Raw genomic sequence first — 27,396 nt, forward strand, 5'->3', positions numbered from 1 at the left:
CATAAACAAGTCTGAAAAATAACCAGCTAGCATCATGGTGACAAAAGCACACATAACAATACTAACTTCAAATGTAAATGGGCTAAATGTCCCCTTTAAAAGACACAGGATGGCAAGCTGGATAGAGCCAAGACCCATCTCACATGCAAAGACACACATAGGCTCAAAATAAAGAGATGGAGGAAAATTTACCAAGCAAATGGAAAACAGACAAAAGCAGGGGTCGCAATCCTAGTTTCTGACAAAACAGACATTAAACCAATAAAAGATAAGAAAAGGCAAAGAAGGAAATTACATAAAGGTAAAGGGTTCAATTCAACAAGAAGAGCTAACTATCCTAAATATATATGCACCCAATAGAGAAGCACTCAGATTCATAAAGCAAGTTCTTAGAGACCTACAAACAGACTTAGACTCCCACGCAATAATAGTGGGAGGCTTTAACATCCCACTGACAATGTTAGATCATAGAAACACAAAATTAACAAAAATATCCAGGACCTAAACTCAGCTGTGGATCAAGTGGACCCAATAGATATCTACAGAACTCTTCACCCAAAAACAACAGAATATACATTCTTCTCATTGCCACATGGAACTTACTTTAAAATTAATCACATAATTGGAAGTAAAACACTCCTCAGCAAATGCAAAAGAACTGAAATCATAACAAATAGTCTCTTAGACCACAGCACAATTAAATTAGAACTGAATATTAAGAAATTCACTCAAAATCACACAACTACATAAAAATTGAACAACCTACTCCTGAATGATTCTTGGGTAAATAATAAAATTAAGGCAGAAATCAAGAAGTTCTTTGAAACTAATGGAACAAAAAGATAATGTACCAAAATCTCTGGGATGTAGCCAAAGCAGTGTTAAGAGGGATACTTATGCACCAAATGACCATATCAAAAAGCTAGAAAGATCTCAACAACCTAACATCTCAACTATAACTAGAGAACCGAGAGCAAAACCCACAACTAGCAGAAGACAAGAAATAACCAAGATCAGAGCTGAACTCAAGGAGATAGAGACACAAAAACCCCTTTGAAAAAAAAAATCAATGAATCCAGGATTCAGTTTTTGAAAAAAATTAATAAAATAGAAAGCTAGCTAGACTAATAAAGAAAAGAGAGAAGACTCAAATAAACACAATCAGAAATGATAAAGGGGACATTACCACTGACTCCACAGAAATAGAAACAACCATCAGAGAATGCTGTAAATACTTCTATGCACATAAACTAGAAAATCCAAAAGAAATAGGTAAATTCCTGGACACAGACACCCTCCCAAGACTGAACCAGGAAGAAATTGAATTCCAGAATACACCAATAACAAGTTCTGAAATTGAGGCAGTAATAAGTAGCAAGCAAAAAACACCCAGGACCAGATGGATTCACAGCTGAATTCTACCAGAAGTACCATTTCTACTGAAACTATTCCAAAAAGTTGAAAAGGAAGGACTCCTTCTTAACTCATTCATGAGGCCAGCATCATCCTGATACCACAACTTGGCAGAGATACCAAAAAAAAAAAAAAAAAAAAAGAAATTGCAGGCCAATATCCTTGATGAACATCGATGCAAAAATCCTCAGTAAAATACTGGCAAACTGAATCCAGCAGCACATCAAAAAGCTTATCCACCATGATCAAGTTGTCTTCATCCCCAGGATTCAAGGTTGGTTTAACATATGCAAATCAATAAATGTGATTCATCATATAAACATAACTAAAGGCAAAAACCACACGATTATCTCAATAGATGCAGAAAAGGCCTTTGATAAAATCAAGCACCCCTTCATGTTAAACACTCTCAACAAACTAGGTACTGAAGGAACATAACACAAAATAATAGAAGCCATCTATGACAAACCCACAGCCAATATCATACTGACTGGGCAAAAGCTAGAAGCATTCTCCTTGAAAACTGGCACAAGACAAGGATGCCGTCTCTCACCACTCCTATTCAACATAGTATTGGAAGTTCTGGCCAGGGCAAGCATGCAAGAGAAATAAGTAAAGGGTATTCAAATAGGAAGAGAGGTAGTCAAATTATTTTTATTTGCAGATGACATGATCCTATATCTAGAAAACCCCATTGTCTCAGCCCAAAAGCTTCTTCTTTTTTTTTTTTTTTTTTTTTTTTGAGATGGACTTTCACTCTTGTCACCCAGACTGGGGTACGAAGGCACGATCATGGCTCATTGCAACCTCTGCCTCCTGGGTTCAAGCAATTCTCCTGCCTCAGCCTCCTGAGTAGCTGGGATCACAGGCGCTTGACACCGTGCTTGGCTAATTTTTGTATTGTTAGTAGTGACAGGGTTTCACCACATTGGCCAGGCTGGTTTCGAACTCCTGACCTCAGGTGATCCGCCCACTTCAGCCTCCCAAAGTGCTAGGATTACAGACGTGAGCCACCCAGTCCCAAAAGCTTCTTAAGCTGATAAGCAACCTCAGCAAAGTCTCAGGATACAAAATCATTGTGCAAAAATCACTAGCATTCCTGTACACCAACAACAAGCAAGCAGAGCCAAATCATTAATGAACTCCCATTCACAAGTGCTACAAAGAGAATAAAATATCTAGGGATACAACTAAAAAGGGAAGTGAAGGACTTCTTTGAGGAGAACTACAAACCACTGCTCAAAGAAATCAGAGAGGACACAAAGAAATGGAGAAACATTTCATGCTTGTGGATAGGAAGAATCAATATCGTGAAAATGGCTATACTGCCCAAAGTAATTTACAGATTCAATGTTATTCCCATTAAACTACCATTGACATTCTTCACATAAGTACAAAAAAACTATTTAAAAATTCTTATGGAACCAAAAAAGAGCCTGAATACCAAAGACAGTCCTAAGCAAAAAGAACAATGCTGGAGGCATCACGCTACCCAACTTTATACTATACTACAAGGCTACAGTAACCAAAAAAGCAAGGTACTGGTAGAAAAGCAGACACATAGACCAATGGAACAGAATAGAGAACTCAGAAATAAGACCGCACACCTACAACCATCTGATCTTCAACAAGCTCACAAAAACAAGCAATGGGGAAAGGACTCCCTATTTAATAAATGATACTGGAAGAGCTGGCTGGCCATATGCAGAAAATTGAAACTGGACCCTTTCCTTACACCTTATATAAAAATTACCTCAAGATGGATTAAGGACTTAAATGTAAAACCCAAAACTATAAAAACTCTGGAAGATAATCCAGGCAATAGCATTCAGGACATAGGCACAAACAAAGGTTTCATGACAAAAATGCCAAAAGCAATTGCAACAAAAGCAAAAGTTGACAAATGGGGTCTAATTAAACTAGAGCTTCTGCACAGCAAAAGAAACTATCATCAGAGTGAACAGACAACCTAAAGAATGGGAGAAAATTTTTGCAATATATCCGTCTCACAAAGGTCTAATATCCAGAGTCTACAAGAGAAATTTAAACAAATTTACAAGACAAAGACAAAGAACTCCATTAAAAAGTAGGCAATGGACATGAACAGACACTTCTCAAAAGAAGACATACAGGTGGCCAACAAACATATGAAAAAAAGCTCAACATCACTGATCATTAGAGAAATGAAAATCAAAACTACAATGAGATACCATCTCACACCAGTCAGAGTAGCTATTATTAAAGTCAAAAAAACAACAGATGCTGGTAAGGTTGTGGAGAAAAAGGAATACTTTTACACTGTTGGTGGGAGTGTAAATTAGTTCAACCATTGTGGAAAATGGTGTGGTAATTCCTCAAAGACCTAGAACCAGAAATAGTATGTGACCCAGCAATCCCATTACTGGGTATATACCCAAAGGAATAGAAATCATTATATTATAAAGATACATGCATGCATATGTTCATTGCAGCACTATTTACAACAGCAAAGACATGAAATCAACCTAAATGCCCATCAATGATAGACTGGATAAAGAAAATGTGGTACATATACACCATGGGATACTATGCAGCCATAGAAAGAAGAAGATCATGTCCTTTGCTGGGACATGGATGGAATTGGAAGCCATTATCCTCAGCAAACCAAAGCAGGAATAGAAAACCAAACACCCCATGTTCTTACTTGTAAGTGGGAGCTGAATGATGAGAACACATGAACACATGGCTGGGGGAACAACACACACTAGGGCCTGTTGGAGTGGGGAGTAGGGGGAGAGAGAGCATCAGGAAGAACAGCTAATGGATGCTGGGCTTAATACTTAGGTGATGGGATGATCTGTGCAGCAAACCACCATGGCACACGTTTACCTATCTAACAAACCTGCACATCCTTCACATGTACCCCTGAACTTGAAAGTTGAAGAAAACAAAAGTTTGTAAAAATTTGCAATCATCTATAAATTGCTTATGCTATAATGTTAAATGAAAAAAGCAGCATACAAAGTAGTATCCAAAGTAAGGTCACAACAATGTAAAAAGAAAAGGCACTAGAAAACCAGGTTTGGAATATTCTCAGAATTGTTGACATGTTGTCTTTAAGTGATGAAACACTAGGCTGATAAAATATTTTTATTTCTATTTTTCCACATTTTTCCATATTTTTCATATTGAATATGCTCTATTCAAATAAAATACCACTGGAAATTACATTTCCTAAATGACAAATTTGTTTTTATAAAATGTAGTTTTCCATTTTTGTATGCCTCCTTTTTCTGTCTTCTCCCACATCCTTACCAAAAAAGGTGAAAAGCAAATTAATATTGCAATAGAGATATCTGATCTTCAAAAGTTTTGTTTATTAGCAACGACACAAATGTTTGTTCCCACAGCTAAAATTACAGCTGCATTTTTAAAGTACATTGCTAACCAGAGCAATGAAATACTATAATCTCTACAAAATAGTTGACATTGCCTTATAGTATAGTCATTAAAAATAAAGGTGCTATTTTATTACTGTAAAACCAAGGAAATTTTGACATTACCAAGCACATGAAAATATTGTGTCCCAAACACACACCAATCATGTCTCCAAATTTTAATTATTTTCAGCCAAATAGACTGGCCTGCCTCAAAAGTTATATTAAAATAAATTGTAAATTTTGTAATCTCAGAAATAGTTAGCATGCTCTTTCTCCCAGATAGCTTCAAATAATTTTATTTAATAGAATATCATGATCTCTATTTCTTCAAAGACAAGTAGAATATAGAAATATGAAATGATTTTCCCAGGGTCACACAGAGTAAAATATAATTCTGTTAGACACTCTCCGATTTATGAATGTTTCTTGGATTTGTTTGATTTAACAAACATTAAAAGCCTGAAAATATGTTACCACTGGGTTGTGTGGAGAAAATGGTTTTTTAAAATCAAAATTCCTACATTGCAAATGTAATTTTGAATATATCAATATTTAGTGTTTGTATTTCCAAAGCAAACATTTGGAAAAAATAAAGCTACTTCCTACTTGGCTTTGTGGGGAATTGCTACTAATAACTATTGTTAAACATTCTGCAAAAATGTGACATGCAATCCCATTGCCTGCTAATAAGCTTATCAGAACAAAGCATAAATAAATAACTCTTGCTATTGTTTTTTAGCTTCAGAAAATAACAAGTCCTCTTAATCATTGATAAATTTTATGCATTTAAAATCTAGAAACATTTATGAAAAATTAGTAGTAAAAATAGTAGTTTTTCCATTTTCTGCCCATTTTACTTACTCCATTTTGAGGAAGAAGAGTGACAAATAGGATTAGTAAATTCAGGCTGAATGGAAAAGGTATGCTCCAATTAGCTTGACTGTTCTTCCTCTTGAGAGCATGAGTTCTCTCTGCTCCTTCACATCCAAAGCCTTCACCCTCCTCCTGGAGGGGAATTCTGCCCCAGCTGGTGCTACCTAGGTGGGGCCAGGTAGTTCTGCCTAACTCAGAGCTTCCCCTGTTAGCAACCCACAGAGCCAACAGAGCCAAAGCCGTTGCCTCCCTCCTGCCTCCAAGCAGGAAACAGGCAATTTTTGGCCCCATCTTTATGCTGTTTTACATCTCAACTTGTTCAGAAACCAAGCCTCTTTGAGCACCACTTTTAGGGAAGTTTTGTTCCAACAGGGCTGTAGCAAAACACTATACTTGCTCTCAGAGGAAGAGTTTTCATTCAGTACTGATTGATTTGAAAAAACTCCAAGCCAAATCTACTGACTGATTTATAAGGAAGCCATCAATCATCACATAAGACAGTGAGTTCCACACTTGAAAAATTTGCTTACCAACATCACAATTTCTGGCCATATCACTCTACCACTTATATTATTATTTATTACTTTTTTTCTATTAAAAGGCTCATTTATTTTTACTTGCCAGGCACTGTATTAGTCTGTCCTCATGCCGCTAATAAAGACATACCTGAGACTGGGTAATTTATAAAGAAAAAGTGGCTTAATAGATTCACAGTTCTACATGGCTGGGGGGCCTCACAATCATGGTGGGAGGCAAAGGAGGAGCAAAGGCATGTTTTACATGGTGGCAGGCAAGAGAACGTGTGCAGGGAAACTGCCCTTTATAAAACCATCGGATCTTTTGAGACTTATTCATTATCATGAACACAGCACAAGAAAACCTGCCCCCATGATTCAGTTACCTCCCACCAGGTCCCTCCCATGACACACCTGGGGATAATGGGAACTACAATTCAAGGTGAGAGTTGGGTGGTGACACAGCCAAGCCATATCAGGCACAATTATAAATGCTTTATAAATATTAACTCTTTTAATTCTCACAACAATCCTATGAGGTAGGTATTATTATTGCTATAATTTTAGGATGAGAAAACTGATGCATGGAAAGATCAGTAATTTGGCTCAAAGTCAGACAGCAACTGGAATCCGCTCCACCTGTGCTGGCTCCATGGTCACCTCTGACCTACCACAAATATAGAAAGTGATCATGACAAAGGCAGTCAAAAGACATGAATGTTATCACATTATAAAAATGAAAATAAAATGCAAAGCATAATACTAATTGATTAACAAAAACTCACACCTGGAAATTCTATTTTTCTTTGTGCCAAAAATAGCTGTTAATGATTATTTGATAACAAAATTTAAAACTTAAAAATTAAAATGAAATACACAGAGTAATAGCCAGTCAATTTATAAAAATATACTCCTGAAAATTCTTTCTCCAGCTTGGGCAATATGGCAAGATCCCATTTCTATAAAAAATTAAATTAAAAAACCATTTTCTGGGTGTGGTGGTGCAAAACTGCGGTGCCAGCTAGTCAAGAGGCTGAGGAAGGAGGATCCCTTGAGTCCAGGAGGTCAAGGCTGCAGTGAGCCACGATGGCACCCCTGCACTCCAGCCTGGGTGACAGAGCGAGACTCCGTCTCAAAAAGAAAATTTTTTCTCATGCAAGAAATTAACTGCTGATAAGTCAGTATCAACAACTTCATTTTAAGTGGCTTTATGACTAATTAGAGGGAAGTGCCCTGAAAAAGGATTTTAATCCATTGTTCTTCTTTTTTTCTAGGTCCAGAGCAGAAATCTACAGGAGGTTGAATAGCCCTGAATCACTCTGAGTTTACATAGTGGCATTTTTTGCCCAGCCACATTCTTCAATGTCTTTTTGGTAATGATTTTTATTCCTCCTATGCACCCCCACACGTTTTTCCCCGCCAGGAACCTACCTCCAAGTGATCCATGTGGTCAGCAGAAAGCGAATTACAGTTCTTGGCTCTACCACTTCAGTTTCACCTAAGCAATAACACTGTATCTGTGAAACCAAGGCTTTGATGGGCTATTCTTTTCACAAAGTTTGCATGTAAGGGAGACAGTGTTAAGTGTCTCTCCCTCCCCCATTTCATTTGCCTCCTAGTCACACAGCTAGGATACATTTCCCAGCTTTCCTTGCAGTTAGGTGGAATCATGTGACTGACTTCTGGCCAATAGACTATGAGTAGAAGTGATTCATGGCATTTGCAGTCCTGGCCCCTAAATAACTCCATGCCCTCTTTTGGTCTGTGCAGTGGCTAGAAGAAGCAGACTCCACGACCCAGAAGAACCTAAAGCCCCAAATAGGGGTCTGATTCCCTGATTGACTGTGGTACAGAAGATCCACCCCCATCAAAGCCCACATTGGACCATAGTGTGAAGTGAGAAATCACCCTTTACTGTCTTAACTCATAGGTTTTCAGGTTCTTGATTACAGCACTTTATTCTAATTAATATAATGCATTACAGCAAATGCTTAACTCTTGATATTTAAAAATTGTTCATCTGTGATTCCCTTAAAATGACCATTATTTGGTAAACACTGTTATCGGAGACACTGCCCCACACGGCTTGATTATTCTTTCCTTAAAATGTGCTTCCAGAAGCTGACAAAATTAATCAAAGACTGCATCATACCAAGTCATCTTCCAGCAAACTCTGCTCTGTAATTTAATGAGTTTTCTCTTTCTGCCAATCCTTCACTATAACTGGCACATTGAATAAGCAGGACTCATGGGATTTAATCATAAAACTTGTTTTTTTCCACTGTCTCTTTAAACCTGGTCAGGTCCTTCCCTTAACCTTGACTATTATGGTCATGCTTAGGTAAAAGAACGATCTACTGTCATTTTAAATCACTATTGTAGTCTCAACTCAGTATTGAAATATGTTTAGTTGGATGCAGTAATCACAAGATCAATCATCATTCAAGTTGAGACTTCTCCCTGTCACATGCCCCTCCTCCATCCTGAGCCAGCAGCCTGCTACTCCCCCATCCTAGGGAAAGAGGCATTGTTAACACCTGTACTAAATTCTTGCTCCCCCCACTACTTACCAGCTGTTGTTTCTGACCTGTGTCCCACCCAGGGTTGAAGCCGTGAGGGTGAAGAAGTAAAAGGCCAAGAAAATTCTTATTGGACAGGTACTATAATAAGATAGTACTGTCCTTTCTGGTTCTGGGGAGCATTTGAAGCTGACATTTTCTATTGCGTGTATCCCTGTGGATTTTCATAATTTTACTTTTTGTTTGTTTACAGCAGTTTAGAACAGTTGATGGAGATTATGGGACAGGGAGCCCCTCAAAATTATTCCTGACACCATCACTGGCTATCCTCAATTTTAGCCTCTCTTCTCACCGTCCTCAGTATCAACACCTGGTATCTTTCACACAGGATCAAGTGAGCCCAATCTTCCTGCAACAAAGTCTGTAGTACCTGACAGCTCTCAAGATTGTCCATAGTAAGCTGTATAGCCCCTTCTTTGACCTTATCAGTGTCTGCTCATGGCCTATGCAGTATTTCAGAGAACACTATGCAAAAAGGCCAGGCCTTAGCTTGGAGGTGAGAACTCTGAATTGCACAAGTCTTAGCTAGTCTCAAAGAAAAAGGCTCATTCTACCCCATATAGGAGTGAAAGTGACCATTCAGACTATACACACCTGGAAGGTGTGGCCCCATCTTCATAATTCCTCTAAGGCAGATGAATGTTTTGTCTAGATTTGCATAGTATTAGGCAATTCTAATATTGTCAGGTGACAAACTGACTTATTAAGGGAAGCTCTGTCCCAAATCCCAGTTTTTGAGACAATAAATAAAACATTTCTTATAAATATCCTGACTTCAAAGTAGAGGACACTGGGTAACAGAGACCTCTCTGGCAGAGCTAAGCAGGAGAGGCGACTCACTGAAGTTTGATTAGGGATCTGGAATTACAGCGAAAGCAGCAACTTCTCTGAACTTAACTACCCAGTATTTATCACTTGAATAGAATAATTTTTCCTCATTTCCCACCAAAAGTGGGCACCAAAGTTTAGAAAGGTGGGGAAAGGTAGAGTGGAAAGATGAAGCATTTCAGTGTGAGCTCATGTTCAGAATCTCTACTTACTAGCTGTGTGACTTGGGGCAAGTTACATAATCTTTCTGAGCCTCAATTGTCTCGGCTCTAGAATAAGCCAAGTAGGTATGGCAGAGGTATTATGAGAATTAAATAAAATGTATATCAGGAGGCCTAAAACAATCAGTGCCTGGCATTTAACAGATACTGAACAAATAGCCCTTCCCCTTTCCACCTTCAAAGGACCACCACAGATGTGGAAGACGTGGTATTCTGCAGGTGTTTTCAGTTTGTAAAGTGCTTTTAGCTTTTAAAGCACCTTCATAGCTGTTTTCTTTGTTTTCTAAAGAGAAAAGGAAGATGTGAAGAAAAGAAATACAAAAAGAGGAAACTCTGGAAGATGGACAGAACATTGCATAACAAAAACGATGGCTAGCAGACTTGGAATGTGCATGTAGAGTTTTCACAAGGCAAGCGACAGTCAAGTGAGAGTGAGTTAACTCTGCAGTAAACGTTCTCCAATTTAAATAATAAGTTTGAGACTAGCCTGGGCATCATAGTGAGACCCTGTTTTTACAAAAAAAATTTAAAAATTAGCTGGGCGTGGTGGAGCACACCTGTAATCCCAGCTACTTGGGAGGCTAAGGCAGGAGGATTGCTGGAGCCCAGACATTTGAGGCTGCAGTGAGTTATGATCATGCCACTGCACTCCAGCCTGGGTGAGAGAGCAAGATTCTGTTTCTAAAAATAAAAAATAATAATAAGGTCAAATGTCTGAGTTTGCTATGAATTTGACTTAGAAATTCATTTTTTAGAAGAAAAATGTCTTGCTATTGCAGTTGCCCACCAGTGGAGCAACAGTGACACTAGCTAATCAGTGATGTGTATTCCCTAAGGGATACCACCAAGCCAGGCTATTAAAACTTCCTAAATATAGCTTGTGTGGTGTCATGTCTGCTGGGCTCTTTTAGATCTCAACATCCAAAGCAAGTGTAAATCTGCACTACAGATAAAGTGTGGCCCAGCTGGAACCCAAACTGTGCCCCTCCCCTCCCACCTCCCTTTCAGAGTCTACTTACATGAGGCCACTCGGTATCCACCAAGATATAAATCATGCTAAAGAAACAGAGTGTCAGTCCCTACCCTCCTGGCCCACCAGCACTGTTCTTCTGGCCTTTGACTAAGTCCTGGAAAAGGGCGGCTTAGGGAGATATTTCACTAAATATATTCACACATCTCTGAGAGGCCCCCAGGCAGCTAGGCTTTGGGAGTATATGACAAAGTGGAGCAAGGAGAGGAGTAAAGGAGCTGTCCTATGTCACTGGAGTAAACTGTGGCATTTCACCCAGTGCTCAAGGGTCCTGGGGCCCAATGAATTTGGATTTAAATTTATGCTCTGACATTTTCTAAGTGTATGACTTGGGGCAAGTTTGTTAACCTCAGCATCATCATCTACAGAACGGACAAAGAAAAAAAAAAGCATCTGTTAGTCTTCCTGAGACTTAAACTAGAACCATGTAAGAGCAATGCCTTCTGACTTTTCTCAAGTCATGACAGTCACAGAAAATACCACATGTACAGTATAATCCTATGACATAATGCAACTGCTCGATCATAGAGTTAACAGCATTAGATGTCCTGAGACCACAGGCCGTGACCTTCCTCCCTGAGGGTTGAAGGGATAATAATAACAGTGATAGCAAACAGCATCTGTGTAGTGATTCCTGTGTGCCAGAAGCTGTTCTAAATGCTTTACTTGATTAATTCATTTGATTCTCAGAGCAATAGTATGATATGGGAGTATTATTATCTCTTTTTCTCAGATGAGGAAACAGGCACAGAGAGGCTATGGAATGTACATAAGATTACACAGTCTGTGAGTGTCAGGTCCAACCCAGCAGTTAGATCCAGCATCCTCACTTCCCACCAATTATGCAGTAGAACCTTTCAGTATCATGGCCCAACTCCACCCCAACACCACGCCCTACTGGGGCACTCTGCAGTATGGCCCTTCTCACACAGCAGCTAACTTATAATAGCATTAATACTTATAAAAAGTACTTTTATAGGCCGGCTGTGGTGGTTCATGCCTGTAATCCCAGCACTTTGGGAGGCCGAAGCCAGTGGATTACCTGAGGTCAGGAGTTCAAGACCAGCCTGGCCTATATGGTGAAACCCCATCTCTACTAAAAATACAAAAATAAGCCAGGCATGGCAGTGTGTGCCTGTAGTCCCAGCTACACGGGAGGCTGAGGCAGAAGAATTGCTTGAACCCAGGAGGCAGAGGTTGCAGTGAGCAGAGTGAGACTGTCTCAAAAAAATAAAAAAAAGTATTTTAATAAATATTAATGCTTCCTTATAAAAAGTATTTTATAAGTATTAATTTTTTATAAGATATGGGGTTTTATAAGTATAAAAAGCATTAATACTTATAAAAAGCAGCTCAATCAAGTGTGCAGATGGATGCACCAACAAGTTGCACAGCATCAGTGGGTTTGACAGAGCAGGACAGTCCAGAACAATGGGCACTGGCCTGGTTGGTTGTGGTGGGAATCACAGAGACAGGCAGGGCTGGCTCAGCCGCAGGCCACACCACAGGAAGGGAGAAAAAGAGGATGGATTCCTCATGGTGGTGCAAATTCCCTTAGGTGGTCCATGCTCTGGGGTTGTATCACTGTCCAATAAATCGTTGTGGGGACGCTTTAGGGTCTAGAAGTCTAGCATTAGCGGTGGGAATTAGAGCCATTCTGTTTTTAACTATGGGCTTAATGTTGCAGTTACCCGTAATCAGTCCTGGCCTGAAAAAGCCCAGGATGCAGCTGTATGTATGTATTGAACTTTAACATGTTCATCTGCTGATTATAAATAGTAAACTTCTGAAAGGCAGAAAATGTGTCTCTTGCATTTGCTTGCATTTGCTAGCTATCTCTTGATAGCTGCTAGCATTTGTCAGAGCCCTTTTCACATAGTAGGCCATCAATAAATGTGCAATCAAGTTCATTAAACATATTTAATAAAGATTTACTACCTAGGGCTAGCCCTTGAAACAATTACTTCTAACTTCAGAATTTTCTTTTGCAGAGGCAATGGCATCAGTTTCTCTGCTCTAAGTTTAAGGAAGAACAGGAAAACTGGCAGAGACAAACCCAAAGACCTAGTCCAAACTGAACACATTTATTCAACACCAACTCTATTCAAGACTCTCTCTTAACATAAAGCAGTCTTTCTTCTCTATAGAAAAGGATACAAATGAAAGATGCTGTTTGCAAACTCTGACGCTTTCCCTAAATCAAAGAACTCATTCCTAACAGTAGTTTTCATTAATTATTAATTTATTATGAATACTAATTCTGAATGCATTCAATCAAATGTGATTTGATGAAATAATAGTTGCTGCCATGACCCAAGAAAGAAAAGTTGCTGCAATGTGTGCCATTACTCTTTAAGTAAATGGTTTTCAAGTGTATAAAGGTGGTTTCAGGTAGGTTTGAAGCACTGATTGTCATGTCCAAACATTTGGACCCTGGGTATGGCGATGGAATAGGGGCAGAATGTGATGCAGCGAACATAAATTAAATGAGACTGCATTTTCTTTCATGGAACCCTTAGAGATGCTTGCCGTGGAAACTGAAACATCTGTTTTAAAAAATAAACGTCATTTAGGAGTGCTTTGCCAGATACAAACATCTCAGTGACAATTTAGAACAGGGGTTGGCAAGTTACAGCTCATGGGGCAAATCCAGCCATTCTTCTGTATTTGTAAATAAGATTTCATTGAATACAGTCATACTCATTTGTTCATGTATTGTCTATAACTGCTTTTGCTGCACTACAACTGCAGAGTTAACTAGTTTCAAAAGGCACCAAATGGCCAGCAAAATGAAAAATATCATCTAACCCTCTACAGAAAGTTTGCCAACCCTTTATTTAGAATAACACCAAAAGTCACGGATACCAACATCTCAGTGACAATTTAAACCAATATCAAAATTAATTTCACCAATTCACAGCCCAACCTGCTAAGACATCTCAAATTAATTAGGGTGTTTTTTAGCATTTGTGTAATTGACTCCTTGAATTGTCGACATGATGCTCATTAAAGAGAAGCACATTTTGCCATAAGTTGGTCATACGGGAAGTAGAAGATATGGGTCTTCCCCTTGATATTGGCAAATTGGCATCTAAGTCGTGTACAGAAAATCATATTTGTGGTTCTTATTGCATTTCTTACCATAGGTGAGTGTTTACCTGTCCCCTTAACTTCAAGGGCTGAGACAAACTCTAAAACATTAAGATGTATAAGAAAGAAAAATAATTGAAAAATCAGTCTCTCAATTTTTAATATGTGACCCTTCTTACTTCTACCTCTGATGCTTGCCTAGCTATGACCTAGCTTCTGGCAAGGCAGAATTTACTTAAGGATGCATCATTGTCATTTGCAGGAGGCGCTCCTACCCACACATTATTCCCTTTTAGTCCCTCACCCAAAACTCCCCCTAAATAGCGCATCTCCCAGGATGCTTGACTAGCCGAGAAGACCAGTGTTACCAACCTTGCCAGCAATAACTTTTCTTACATTCCTCCTCATAGGCACAAATTTTTTTAAGTGTGGAAAAAAGGAAATTTAAGAAGTAAAAAAGATAGTGATGAAAAGTCAGCATGTATAAAGAAAAAGTCTGTTGGAAAAGGGAGAAGAAGCATGCAGGATTACCCCAAAGGCAAAAACCTATTGATAAAGAAGCAAATAGAGAGCCAAGCTTTCAAAAAAGAAGGAAGTAAAAATTTGGGGGTCTGGCCTAAAGCAGGGCATTTTCATTTTACCCAGCAACATTGTTCTTTCAAGACACATTTTATATTGTCTCTGAGTGGAGAGTTGCACTTCACATATCTGCAATCCAGGGAGAATCACAATGATGGTGGCATATCTCTCTCTTAATTGTCATTGGGCCCCATGCGTGTAAAATCGTATTTTCACGAACTTCATAACACAACGTAATGTCTTTGTTTTTCTTCTCATTAAACAGAGCCAAATGGCTACACTGCAGAGGAGGCTATTGTCTACTGATAGTTACTGATCAAAAGCAAATCAAGTACTGCAACTCAGGCACCAACACAGGATCCACCCCCACTCTTTCAGCCCTCCCAGTCATGCAGAAAATGAACCTCCCTATAGTCTAAATTTCCACTATTCAGAAACCTTAGCTCAGGGCCTACCTGATTTGGGGTTCATCAACCCCTGAAAAAAAACTCAGTTTACTATCTCAGAACCAGAAAACATATACGATCTCTTAACATTTTGTAGATGCTAATTTCTTGTGTTGAATTTACTGATGTAGTAACAACAAAAGGTACAATAAGGTCTACTTCATAACACATTGAACGCTGTATATTCATAAGCTGAGAAGCAGAGCTAAGAATGAGGCAAGTCAAGTGACTAAAGCACAAAATTTAAGAAAGTACTCACTTTTGGGATTGTATAAGCAGAGTCAGCAATCTTTGACCAATGGGGGATGGGAGTTTGTAGATAAGTGCTCCACTGTTACCTCCTTTGAGTGCATGACTTGAGCTGCATTCTGTAGACTACACAGGAGGCATGATTGAGTTTCAGCTGCCCACAACAGTGACTACTTGATAATAAACCTTTCATTTGCCTTTCCCTCCTCTGTTTTATTCTTTTGAAACTCTCATCCCAGCTCCATGGAATCACCTCTTAACTACCTCCTAAGTGCAAGCCTGTATCTCAGGCTCCACTTTCTGAGAAAACACAAGCTAAGAGAGTTGCTACAGGAAGTATATGTTCAGAATGGGACTCTGGAACTAGTGACTCACCAGTGACCAGTATCACTATCAAAAGGCTCACCTCTAGTAGATGAAAATGAGGTACAGATGACAGATGAATCACTAGTTTCTGCATTTGAACAGTATGGGGGAATGCGAATTATAAGGATTGTGGGGTTGGCTGGCCTTAGTAAACTGCAACCATAGAGCTACAGAAATCTCTAACAGATCTCTTATGTCTTAACCAGTGCCCTGATAAGAGTGGGCCCTTGAGCCTTAGATGTAGAAAGCCCTGAGAATTTTGAATACCTGGATCCTTTTGAATTCTCCAGCCTGGAAGAAGCAGCATCCTCCCTCTTATTAGAGAATGGCCTCCTTTCCACTGGAGATGCTGCAAGGACTTCACCTGAGGCAGGTGCTTCACGTGACGAGGCTTTTCATCCCAAGAGCTACCATGCTTCCCCTTATTGCCTCCAGAATGGGCTGCACCACAGCCTGAGGAAGGAAATAAAATCTCTGCTGTGGCAGGAACGAGGATATATGCAATGGAACTGCAGGATTCTAATGTGTGCTGCTGGGAACCTGGAGAGTGGAGAATACATATGAGACAGGTCTTCAGGGTTTTACAAGCAGAAAATGCAGTGGGGATAGGGGAGGATTTATTGATGTGCTATGATTTGAGAGCTTAATGTTCTGGCAAAGCCACCTGATTCTGACCCAAAAATGTGGTTAGAATGACCCGTTAAAAATTGATCATGACAATGGCCTACAGTGAACGAGGCAGAGATTATGGAATTGTCTCAGCAGAGTATTGAGGTAGGAGTCAGAAGCCTCTGAGAGGTGAGACTGTTAGAAAGGATTTAAGTGCTGCTGGAGAACTCACCACCTGAATGTATTCTCCAGAAGGGTCCAAGGATAGTCACTTCATTAAAGCAATAGGGAATGCACAGGTGAGAGGCATACCAGACCCACTGAGAAGCTAGGCAATGGCTGTCCTCTGCAGGTTAAAATTGACAGTAGGCAATACTGCTGTGGAACTGGGCTCCCAACTTCAACATCAGTATATATATTAGGTTGTGGAATTTGGTAATGGCAGAGGCCAGATGTTAGCACTTAATAATCAGAGACAAGGAAGAAATAATTGCCCCCATGGCATCAAGGCTGGAGGAAAAGTCAGGGGCTCTCTCTCCAATAACTAAAATTCATGGGTCTGGAACCAACAGTGAAGTAGGATTGAGCCCTGTCAGCATTCCGCTCAGTAACCCACTTGCTGAATGTGTGCTGCTTCTCTCCACAAACAGGATCTGTTTGTGAACCCCTTGATTCACAGTGTAGGTTAGGCTTCTACCAGAGGATGCAGTAAGGGGCTTGACCACGAAGCTATAATAATCAATTAATCATATGAGCTCTTCATTCCAGTAGACTACTGGGCAAAGAAAGGATCACTGTAAAGATGGGAGCTATTGACCCTTGTTGCTGTCAAGATCTAGGATTGATGCTACACAGTAGGAGCAGAAAGAAGAGTGTCTGTACATCAGGGAATTTACTGGTGTGTTTCATGGTGCTTCTCTGCCCTGTAGTCACATTAAATGTGAAATCTCAGCAACCATGGTCCAACAGGTATTAAAAAATAAAATAAACAAAGGCTCAGACCTCTAAGGGATGAAGATCTGGGTCACTGACCAAGCAAACAACTTAGAACTGCTTAAACACAATGTAAGCATGAATGAACTCTAGAATGGGTTACAGAAGAGTGTGCTGATGAATATCAATTACAGCCTCAGGACGAAGTACAACATGTGGACTGTAGCTTGTTTCAATAACCCTGCTGTTTTACATTTGTCATAGGTTGCAGCAATTCTGCCAATAACCTGATAAAGAGACTTTACCAAAAACTTAATGGCAAGCATCACATTGAATGATACAGCATTAGAAACATTCCCTTTAAATTCGGTTTCAAGACAAGAATCTCTGCTATGGACAGCCAATTAATATCCTGCAGACATCCTAACCAATACATTAAATTTAAAAAAATTTTTTGAGGGGAATAAGAATTAGAAGAGACAAAATTGTCCTTGATTACACATAATATGATTGTCAATGCAGAAAATCTAAGAAAATCTGTAAAGAAATTACTAGCACTGATAAGAAGATTGACCAAGTTGTGAAATACAAGATTCATATTCTAAAACCAATAACACTCCTTTTTACCCATAATATTGGATTCAAAAATAAAATTTTAAAAATTATTAAAATGAAATATATAAAGATATGTCATATGGAGAATATTATACAACTGTATGGGGAAATTTTAAATATATAAATAGATACACAATGTTTAACAATAAGGAGAATCTCCTAATTAATTCATTAATCAAATCTAATACAAACAAAAACTTCAACAAAGTTGTTCATGAAATTTGATAAGTTGATTCCATAATGCATAAGGAAGAGCAAAAGGCCAAGAATGACAGAGACAGTTTTAGAAAGCAAGATAGAAGAAATAGGCTGGGCACAGTGGCTCACGCCTGTAATCCCAGCACTTTGGGGGACCTAGGCAGGCAGATCACAAGGTCGGGAGTTTGAGACCAGCCTGGCCAACATGTTGAAACCCCATCTCTACTAAAAAAAAAAAAAATACAAAAATTAGCCAGGCATGGTGGTGTGCGTCTGTATTCCCAGCTACTCAGGAGGCTGAGGCAGGAGAATTGTTTGAACCTGGGAGGCAGAGGGCACAGTGAGCCGAGATCGCCCCATTGCACTCCAGCCTGGGCAACAGAGCAAGACCCCGTCTCAAAAAAAAAAAAAAAAGATAGAAGAAATAGAAGAACTAGCCCTACTAAATACCAAGGCTTCTTATAAATCTACAGTACTTAGGACTGTGTGGTATGGATGAGGAAATTAGAAAGCTGTCTTATGGAATAAAGGATTCCAAAATAGACCCACACCTATATGAAAACCCAATACATGAGAGGGGTGGAATTGAGAATAACTGGGAGAACTGATGGATGAGTAATTCAATAAATATACTGAAACAACTGGTTATCTTTGTGGAAAAAATAATAAATTTGTATGCCTATACCACACCATAAATAAAAATCAGTTTTAGGTATTAAAATCCTACACATGAAAAATAAAACTTGAAACATTTAAAAGCAAATATAGATTTTTAATGAATTTTTGCTAGGAAAGGGTTTCTATAAACACATACACACACACAAAACATAAAAAAGACTAGCACACTGTTCAGCCCAAATGTAAACATCTTTCAGTATATGCTTATTATTACTGATCGCTCTAAATAAATGTAGATAAGAGTAGGCTGAAAAGAGTTTTTAGGGCAGCAACTGAAGGCAAAATGTGAGTCTGGGTAAGAGAAAAATGGTATACTTTATCCAAGAGTTAGAATTCTCCAGAGCACAGACAGCATGCCACAGCGGAGAAAAAATAACGTATAAGCCAATGCAAGACACATTTCTCACCAATGATCAGAGGTAACTCAAAAGCTATATATGTCTCAGTAATTAATGTTTTCTTCTTAACTTCAATGAACTGTTCTCTTCAGAGTATCTGTAATGCCACAAACTACATCGTTTAATATTTTTCTCTTTTGAAAATGTATCTGCGGAATGAGTGCCAATAGAGAGGAGACAAAACTTCCTTTTTGGTAACAGATAAAACTTCTCAAGGTTTAGAGTATGAACTGAGTAAGCCTCTGAGGATTGTATTTTTAGTGTCAGATCTCATGACAAGGCACTGCTTCTATAAGGATCATCAGACTTACAAATTCCAATTGATTGGAGTAATAAGAATACCTGGCAAAGATACAGGTATTCTTAGAGAATAGAGAAATGGCTGATTTCTAATCATGCCACTAATGCCTTGGAAGTGTCTGTTAACAAAAAGAGAAAGCTTGCTATCACATAAGGCTTATAAAACACCTATTCTTTACTGTGACCTAAATTTTTCAGCTTGATTTACTTTATCAGTTATTAGTACTTTCTTTTTCATGTTTGCTTTATTTCATACTTGTAAGACAATTCACTCATGACCCTTAATTGCCATTGTTGCCTGTTCTGTCATTGTCGTGTTTTCCTCCTTATAACAAGCCAAAGGCAAAAACAATGCTAGTTCAGCCACAGCTTCCAAGTCACACAGACAACTTCTTCCCAGGCTTTTGGATTTTTGTGATGCCAAAGGCAAAAACAATGCTAGTTCAGCCACAGCTTCCAAGTCACACAGACAACTTCTTCCCAGGCTTTTGGATTTTTGTGATAGTATAGAAAATTATACTAGAATCCAAATACTAAAGGTGGCTCTTTTGGCAAATAATGATTACAGCTTCATGTAGAAATTCATTTTGGTGTAGAAATTCACTTTGCAGCTAAGGCTACCACTGGGCAAAGGCAGATTTTAAACTATCAATAGCTTTTCAATGGTAAGAAAAAAGCTGTGCGCATGCAGTATACAAACCATAACAGCAGGTAATAAGGGCATTCAGTAAAACTAAAGCAAGGTGTTAAGGAGCCTGGAGGAACAAATGTAATAGGAAAGTTCACTTAATAACTTGTCCATTCAAGTAAAGTTTATCCGTGGACAACCATGAGCACCTCAAGTATAGTCAATTCTTTGCTTTCCACCATGGCTGGGGAAGGTTGGTTAAATCAAATATTCTGGTCAAGTACAATGTTAGAAAAATTAATTTGTAGGAAGGGATTTCTAGTAAGTTGAAAGCCTGGTGCTGGTCTAAGCAACCAGGTGACCTCCATTTCACCTGATGCTGAAGTTATCACTAATAAATATGCTAGAATTGTTCTGCATCAGTTCTGAGGAGGCCAGCATACAGGAAATCCAGAACAGTTGGGAGAAGCTGGGAGCAGGGCCAGGAATAGGGTTGGATAAGTGAGGCACCTAAGGAGGTGCCCACTCTCAGGCACTGACCCTGCCTACATGTCCATGTCCCTGAGAGTAGGTGTCTCTTTAGATTTGGTGCTTTAGGCTCTTGACTTCCCTTGCCCTACTACTGGCCCTGGCCTGGCAAATACAAGGAGGCAAGCAAAACCTCAGTCTGTACCCAGTGGCTGTTCTCTGGCTATGCTGATGCTTCTCTGACAGCTCAGACCTCATGGGAACTTTGGGGACCTGAGAGACTTTACCTTTGTCTTGGAGCACATTGCATTGTCTGATTTGTGTAGTTACCTGACTAGAGGTAAGTTTCTGTGTCCTTTGCTTTATATCCTTTATCCTTTTACTGTGTTTCTTGGCACCTTTCCATCAATTACATCATTGTTCTGCAGTATCACCTATGCAACACTTAACACTAAAATAAGATTCAAAAATCAAAGCACAGAAAGAAAATCAAGGTCAGCATTGTGAACAGCAGTGATTACACTGCAGGGGTAAGGAATTAGCAGACAGTTGCAGACCTATGGGAAGAAGACAAGGTAAACTAGGTTATTCTCTACAGTCACCTAAAAAATTCTGGTTGTTAGCCATCTGACAGTTCTTAAGTTTTATTTTCTCCTTTTTTTTCATGGCCTCTTATTGCTTAAAAAACCCAACATATTACTAGCTCCAAATAAAAATGAGTAATTCAAAGACCCATAAAGAAACAATATTGTTGTCTCTATGCAAAAAGCAGTGGATCTTCTGCCTTAATACAGCTGACTATAATGTCCAAGGGGTCTCTCCTAGGGTTCTGATTATCTATTGCTGAATAACCTACCCTAAAATTCTGTGGCTTAAAACAACATCATTGGTTTTCCTCCTACTTTGAGGTCAATTTTTTTCTCCACCACTCTTGTGGCTTTCTCCTCTTATGTCACATTTCTAAAGGCTGGGGTGCCATGGGTGCTAGCACCTGGGGTGTCCAGGGCCTGATCTCTTCTGTATCTACAACTTCATCCCCTAAGTGTTCCCAGGCATCAAAAAATCCATCTAGTGATATATTCCAAGTTAGTATCTCCAGCTCGAAATTCTCTGGGGGAACTCCAGGCTCATGTCTGTGGCTGCCTATTCAGTGGCCAGAGAGATCTTAAAACAGAATCAGATCATGACACTCCACTGTTTAAAACCACCCACAGTCCCCCACTGCACTCAGAATACCCTCCACACTCCTCACCACAGCCCTGAGCCCTATGTGAGATGGCCCCACCTACCTTCTCGGCATCATTCTCTTGGATTGTGCTCCTTACTCACCACACTCCAGGCTTCCTAGTCCCTTTTCTCTCCCCTTCTGCCTGGAACACTCTTGCTCAGCTACCTCAGCCTCACCCTTCAGGTCCCAGCATAAATGTCATCTCCTCACAATATTGTGATCACCTACCCTGTCCTCATAGATCTCAGCAAATCTCTAATCAGCTCATTTATTGTTTACTTGTCATTGTCTGTACTTCCTTCTAGAAAATCAAGTTCGTGAAATCAGGGTTAGTATTACAACATAGCATATTTGAATCACGCTCCAGGGGAGTGGCATAAATTTGAATCACGCAAAGCCCCTGAGGGGCCCTGCTGTCTTGTTTATAGCTATATCCCTGGTGCCTGATATAGTGCCTGGTTCCTAGTTGGTGCTCAATTAATATTTTTCAATGAAGGAATGAACTAATGACTCTGGCTCTATGATGTTAAAAGTCTTGGGAGTCTTGGGCAACTTGCAATCTGACACTACATCTATTCTGGTCTTAATAGATAGGTGTTTATTACATAGAAATTCACAGAATACTGTTAAAGTATGATGAATAACATCTTTAATTATTAAAAATCAGTTTGGTTTTGTAATCATTTCAATTATTATTTGACTAAATTATATAAAAATTTTAAATATAGACATGGAAAAAATAACAAAATAAGGCACCCATAATCTCACCTTTCAGATGAATAATGCATTAAACATATCATTAACAACTTTGTTTTCTTGTACATTTTAAGATTTGTCTCTACCTTGTAGATATTTCTCAGTATGGAATTTCAGCTAATTTTATATCATATTCCCCAAATCAGGAAGTAAAGAACAATATTCTAACATCTGGCAATAATTGATGGAACCTGAAGGACCATTTTCATGCTTTTAGATGATCTTTACTAGCCCACTGGAATAATGTCACTTAAAAGATTTATAATCCGTTGATCAACAAAACATGACACCGAGAATCCAGAATTCTGTTTGCATGTATCAGAAAAGTTTGACTACTAGGTCAGAAGTCTGAATCACTGGAGTTGAAAGTTAGCATACATGCTTCACACATTCATTCAGTATTTAATCGACAAATGCTAACTGAGCATCTACAGTGTCAGCAATGTTCTAGACCCTGGGCAACACAGCAGTGACAACAGTCAGAGCTTGGTCTAGTTGGAGGACAAGAGATAGAGAGTAGATGGTAGGTAGGTAGAAGATAGATAGATAGATACATACATACATATGTACACGCATACATATATAGGTACATACATAAATAGAAGATAGATGATTGATAAACAGATGATAGAGACATGTAATATGTTTGATGATGACAAATGCTTTGGATAAAAACAGGCAGTGAAGGATGATGGAGAGGGTACAATTTTAGTTTTTCTTTGGGGTTATCAAGGAAGGTCTCACTGAGAAATAAAAGAAGTGAGAGAGCCAGACATAGAGATATCTGGGGGAAGAGTGTTCCAGGCAGAGGAAACACCTATTGCAAAGGTTCTGAACTTTGAAAGTCTGATTGGTTTTAGAAAGAGTACAAGGTCAATATGTCTGGAGCTGACTGAACAAGGGAGAAAGTAGTTGATTGTGTGCTCACGGAAGTGTAGATTATTCAGGGCCTTAGAGGCTATTGTAAGGATTATGGATTTTACATTGAGTGGAAGAGAAAGCTATCGGAGGAACTGGGGTTTAAAGATGATATCATCTTGATTAATATTAAAAAGATCCCTCTAGCTTCCGTGTGAAGAACAGACTGAGAGTCAAGGGCAGAAGGAGGAAAAAGAGTCAAGAGGGTACAGCAATATTTCAGGGGTAAAAAAAGACTTGAACCAGAATGAGGAAGTGCAGGTGGCAAGAAAGGTCAGTTTGGAATATATTTTGATGGTAGAACTTAAGCTTGTGGAGGATTTGGAGGTGGGATCTGTATGGACCATGCCAAGGTCTTAGGCCTGAGCCTCTGGAAGGTGGGGCTGCCATTTACAGACAAGGAGAAGACCATGAGAGCAGGAGGTTTCAGGCGAATACTTCAACCATTCAAACAAAAAAGTGTTTTGTTTAAACAGCAAAAATGCTTAAGCCTTAGAAATGTCTGGGAAATAATCATTTGGCTACATTAAAAGGGAGAAGGTTGAAAGCAGAGTAAATGATGAATGAAGATAAGTGGAGGACTTAAATGCTGGTATGACTAATAAACAGGATACCTTGAGTCTGTTCTAATACTGGGTATATGTCTTTCAAAAGGATCTCTAGGCAACCATCACAAGGATTTGACACTCCCTACCTACCTCTGTAGAATAGCTTCTTAGAGCTGATCAATTCACCAAACAATAAAATGCAGTTCTACAAGCTTTAGAACATGTTCAGTAACAAGAAAGTAACTACTTTGCAGATGACATGATCCCATATCTAGAAAACCCCATCATCTCAGCCCAAAAGCTTCTTAAGCTGACAAGCAAATTCAACAAAGTCTCAGGATACAAAATCATTGTGCAAAAATCACAAGTATTCCTATATACCGACAATAGACAAGCAGAGAGCCAAATCATGAATGAACTCCCATTCACAATTGCTACAAAGTGAATAAAATACCTAAGAATACAGATAACAAGGGAAGTAAAGGACCTCTTCAAGGAGAACTACCTACCACCACTCAAAGAAATCAGAGAGGACACAAATGGAGAACTATTTCATGCTCATGAGCAGAAAGAATCAATATCACAAAAATGGCCATACTGCCCAAAGTAATTTATAGATTTATTGCTATTCCCATTAAAGTACCATTGACATTCTTCACAGAATTAGAAAAAACTATCTTAAAATTTATATGGAACCAAAAATGAGCCCATATAGCCAAGACAATCCTAAGCAAAAAGAACAAAGCTGGAGGCATCATGCTACCTGACTTTAAACTATACTACAATGCTACAGTAACCAAAACAGCATGGTACTGGTACAAAAACAGACAAATAGACCAATAGAACAGAATAGAGAACTCAGAATTAAGGCTGCACACCTACAACCATCTGATCTACAAAAAGCTCACAAAAGCAAGCAATGGGGAAAGGACATCCTATGTAATAAATGATGCTGGAAGAGCTGGCTGGCCATATGCAGAAAATTGAAACTGGACCCCTTCCTTACACCTTATATAAAAATTACCTCAAGATGGATTAAAGACTTAAATGTAAAATCTAAAACTATAAAAACCCTAGAAGAAAACCTAGGCAATACCATTCAGGACATAGGCATGGGCAAAGATTTCATGATGAAAATGCCAAAAGCAATTGCAACAAAAGCAAAAATCAACAAATGGGATATAATTAAACTAAAGAGCTACATAGCAAAAGAAACTATCATCAGAGTAAACAGACAACCTAAAGAATGGGAGAAAATATTTGCAATATACCCATTTCACAAAGGTCTAATATCCAGAGTCTACAAGAGAAATTTAAACAAATTTAAAAGAAAAAAAAAACTAGTAAGAAGTGGGTGAAGGACATGAACAGACACTTCTCAAAAGAAGACATACATGTGGCCAGCAAACATGTGAAAAAAAAGCTGAACATCACTAATTATTAAAGAAATGCAAATCAAAACCACAATGAGATACCATCTCACACCAGTGAGAATGGCAATTATTAAAAAGTTAAGAAACAAAAGATTCTGGTGAGGCTGTGGAGAAATAAGAACTCTTTTACACTATTGGCAGGAATGTAAATTAGTTCAACCATTGAGGAAGACAGTGTGGTAATTCCTCAAAGACCTAGAATCAGAAATACCATTTGACCCAGCAATCCCATTACTGGGTATATACCCAGAGGAATAGAAATCATTATATTATAAAGATATATGCACACGTATGTTCATTGCAGCACTATTCACAATAGCAAAGACATGGAATCAACCCAAATGCCCATCAATAATAGACTGGATAAAGAAAATGTGGTATATATTTACCATGGAATCCTATGCAGCCATAAAAAAGAACAAGACCATGTCATTTGCATGGACATGGATGGAGCTGGAAGCCATTATCCTCAGCAAACAAACGCAGGAACAGGAAAACGAATATTGCATGTTGTCAGTTATAAGTGGAAGCTGAATGATGAGAACAGGGAGGGGAACAACACACACTAGGACCTTTCACGGGAGCTGGGGGAGGGAGAGCATCAGGAAACATAGCTATGCATGCTGGGCTCAATACCTAGGAGATAAGTTGACAAGTACAGCAAACCACCATGGCACATGTTTACCTGTGTCTTATGTAACAAACTTGCACATCCTGCACATGTATCCTGGAACTTAAAATAATATTAAATTATTTTTTTAAAAAAAGGACTAATTTTTCTCTGAAGGAATTTATTTTCTATTCTCATTAAATATTTCTCCAATACCTATAAAGATGGAAGGCAAGAGGACATAGAATTTTGCAGCAAGTACTGACCCGTTGTCCACTGACAACCACTGAGAGAAAATTAAGAGTTATATATGAAATCTCCACAGTGAGGCACAATAGAAGCCAATACTTTGGTGATTTTTTTGTTAACAACCTTGTTTAATATACAATTATAAGGCAATACTTCCCTTCACTCCTTATTTTTCAAAAAAAAAAAAAACAGTAAATAAGTAACTTGTTAAACAAGAACTTGGACATGCTATTTTTCTAAATGCATGAACAATTTCCATAAAGCATGAACCTCAGCTGAAGACATTACCAAGATTTCAGCTAATAACCTGCATCTACATTTGTTTTGGTCATGAAGGAGCCCTAGGATGAATCCCAAATTCTAATTGTCTCTTCTTCTAAGTTTCTTCTCATATAATTTCCATTAAAGGGACCTGCAGATGTAATTACTGAGTAAGGCAAAAATTAATATAGCTGCTCACCAACAAGCATGCACTTTGCAATAAGCTCCAGTTGAGATCACAGGAACCCATGAGATCAGTGGTCCTCAACTTCAGATGCACGTTTGAATCTTGGGAGAGCTTTATTTAAACAAAAAAACCACACCCATGCCCCAGATCCAATGCCAGAGATCTCCATTTGATTGGTCTGGGAAAGCGATGAGGATCTTTTTTAAAGCTCCACATGATGAAAATGTTCTCTCAGGACTGAAACCACCACATCAGAAAAAGCTATGAGCATAGTCAGCATTGCAAGGAATTCTAACACTAACAGAAAGAGAGTATTATAAATAATAATAATTGGTAATTCAATAGACACACTGGGCCAAATTCTCATGTGATAGAAAAATTCAGGGTGGGAATTTAAAAATTCAGGCAATGGGTATATTTTAATTTTAAAAAGATGAAAAGATCACTTTTCTATGGTAGTAGAATTTCTTCACACACATCTCTCCAGAATCCTTTCAAATTAATTTGCTTTTTAAATTTAATGTAAACAGCCTGTGCTCTCTGCCAAATTCTTAAATATGTGCAAGAAGTCCATTGTGTCACAGAATGTCACCAACACCACTCCTGGTCTCAGTGGCCAGCTCATTCCACACGTGGCTGGTGATCCAGGATAGGAGTTGGACTGTTCTTTCAGAAAACAGCAAACTCTGGGCAACCCGAGGTCTGCCATGGGGTGAAGGATTCAGCAATTCTGCCTTAGAAATAAAGGTGAGCAGAGCTCCACAAGGGTAT

General features: G+C 38.8%; 1 protein-coding gene across 13 annotated transcripts in view, besides 1 other annotated feature; it reads right to left on the reverse strand.

The window, feature by feature from the left end:
• The window catches only part of SLC35F4 (solute carrier family 35 member F4), a 419,262-nt gene that overhangs the window by 237,532 nt on the left and 154,334 nt on the right, over positions 1-27,396 (reverse strand). Inside the window, exon 2 of one of the 13 annotated variants that reach the window (NM_001352012.2) lies at positions 15,876-16,148. The exons of the other annotated variants lie outside the window; for them this stretch is intronic. Coding sequence (NP_001338941.1) covers positions 15,876-15,915 — 40 coding nt within the window. The 5' untranslated portion in view covers positions 15,916-16,148. The remainder of the gene's footprint in view (positions 1-15,875; positions 16,149-27,396) is intronic. 13 annotated transcript variants of the gene reach the window in all.
• Positions 14,653-15,154: an enhancer, noted in NCBI's record as "NANOG hESC enhancer chr14:58282822-58283323 (GRCh37/hg19 assembly coordinates)". NCBI's record gives its function as "activates a minimal SCP1, AML or CMV promoter by ChIP-STARR-seq in primed H9 embryonic stem cells {active_cell/tissue: H9 hESC(primed)}" and the evidence as "EXISTENCE:reporter gene assay evidence [ECO:0000049][PMID:30033119]".

The sequence above is a fragment of the Homo sapiens genome, chromosome 14 (genome assembly GCF_000001405.40).
Source record: "Homo sapiens chromosome 14, GRCh38.p14 Primary Assembly".
In the NCBI taxonomy this organism is placed as follows: Eukaryota; Metazoa; Chordata; class Mammalia; order Primates; family Hominidae; genus Homo; species Homo sapiens.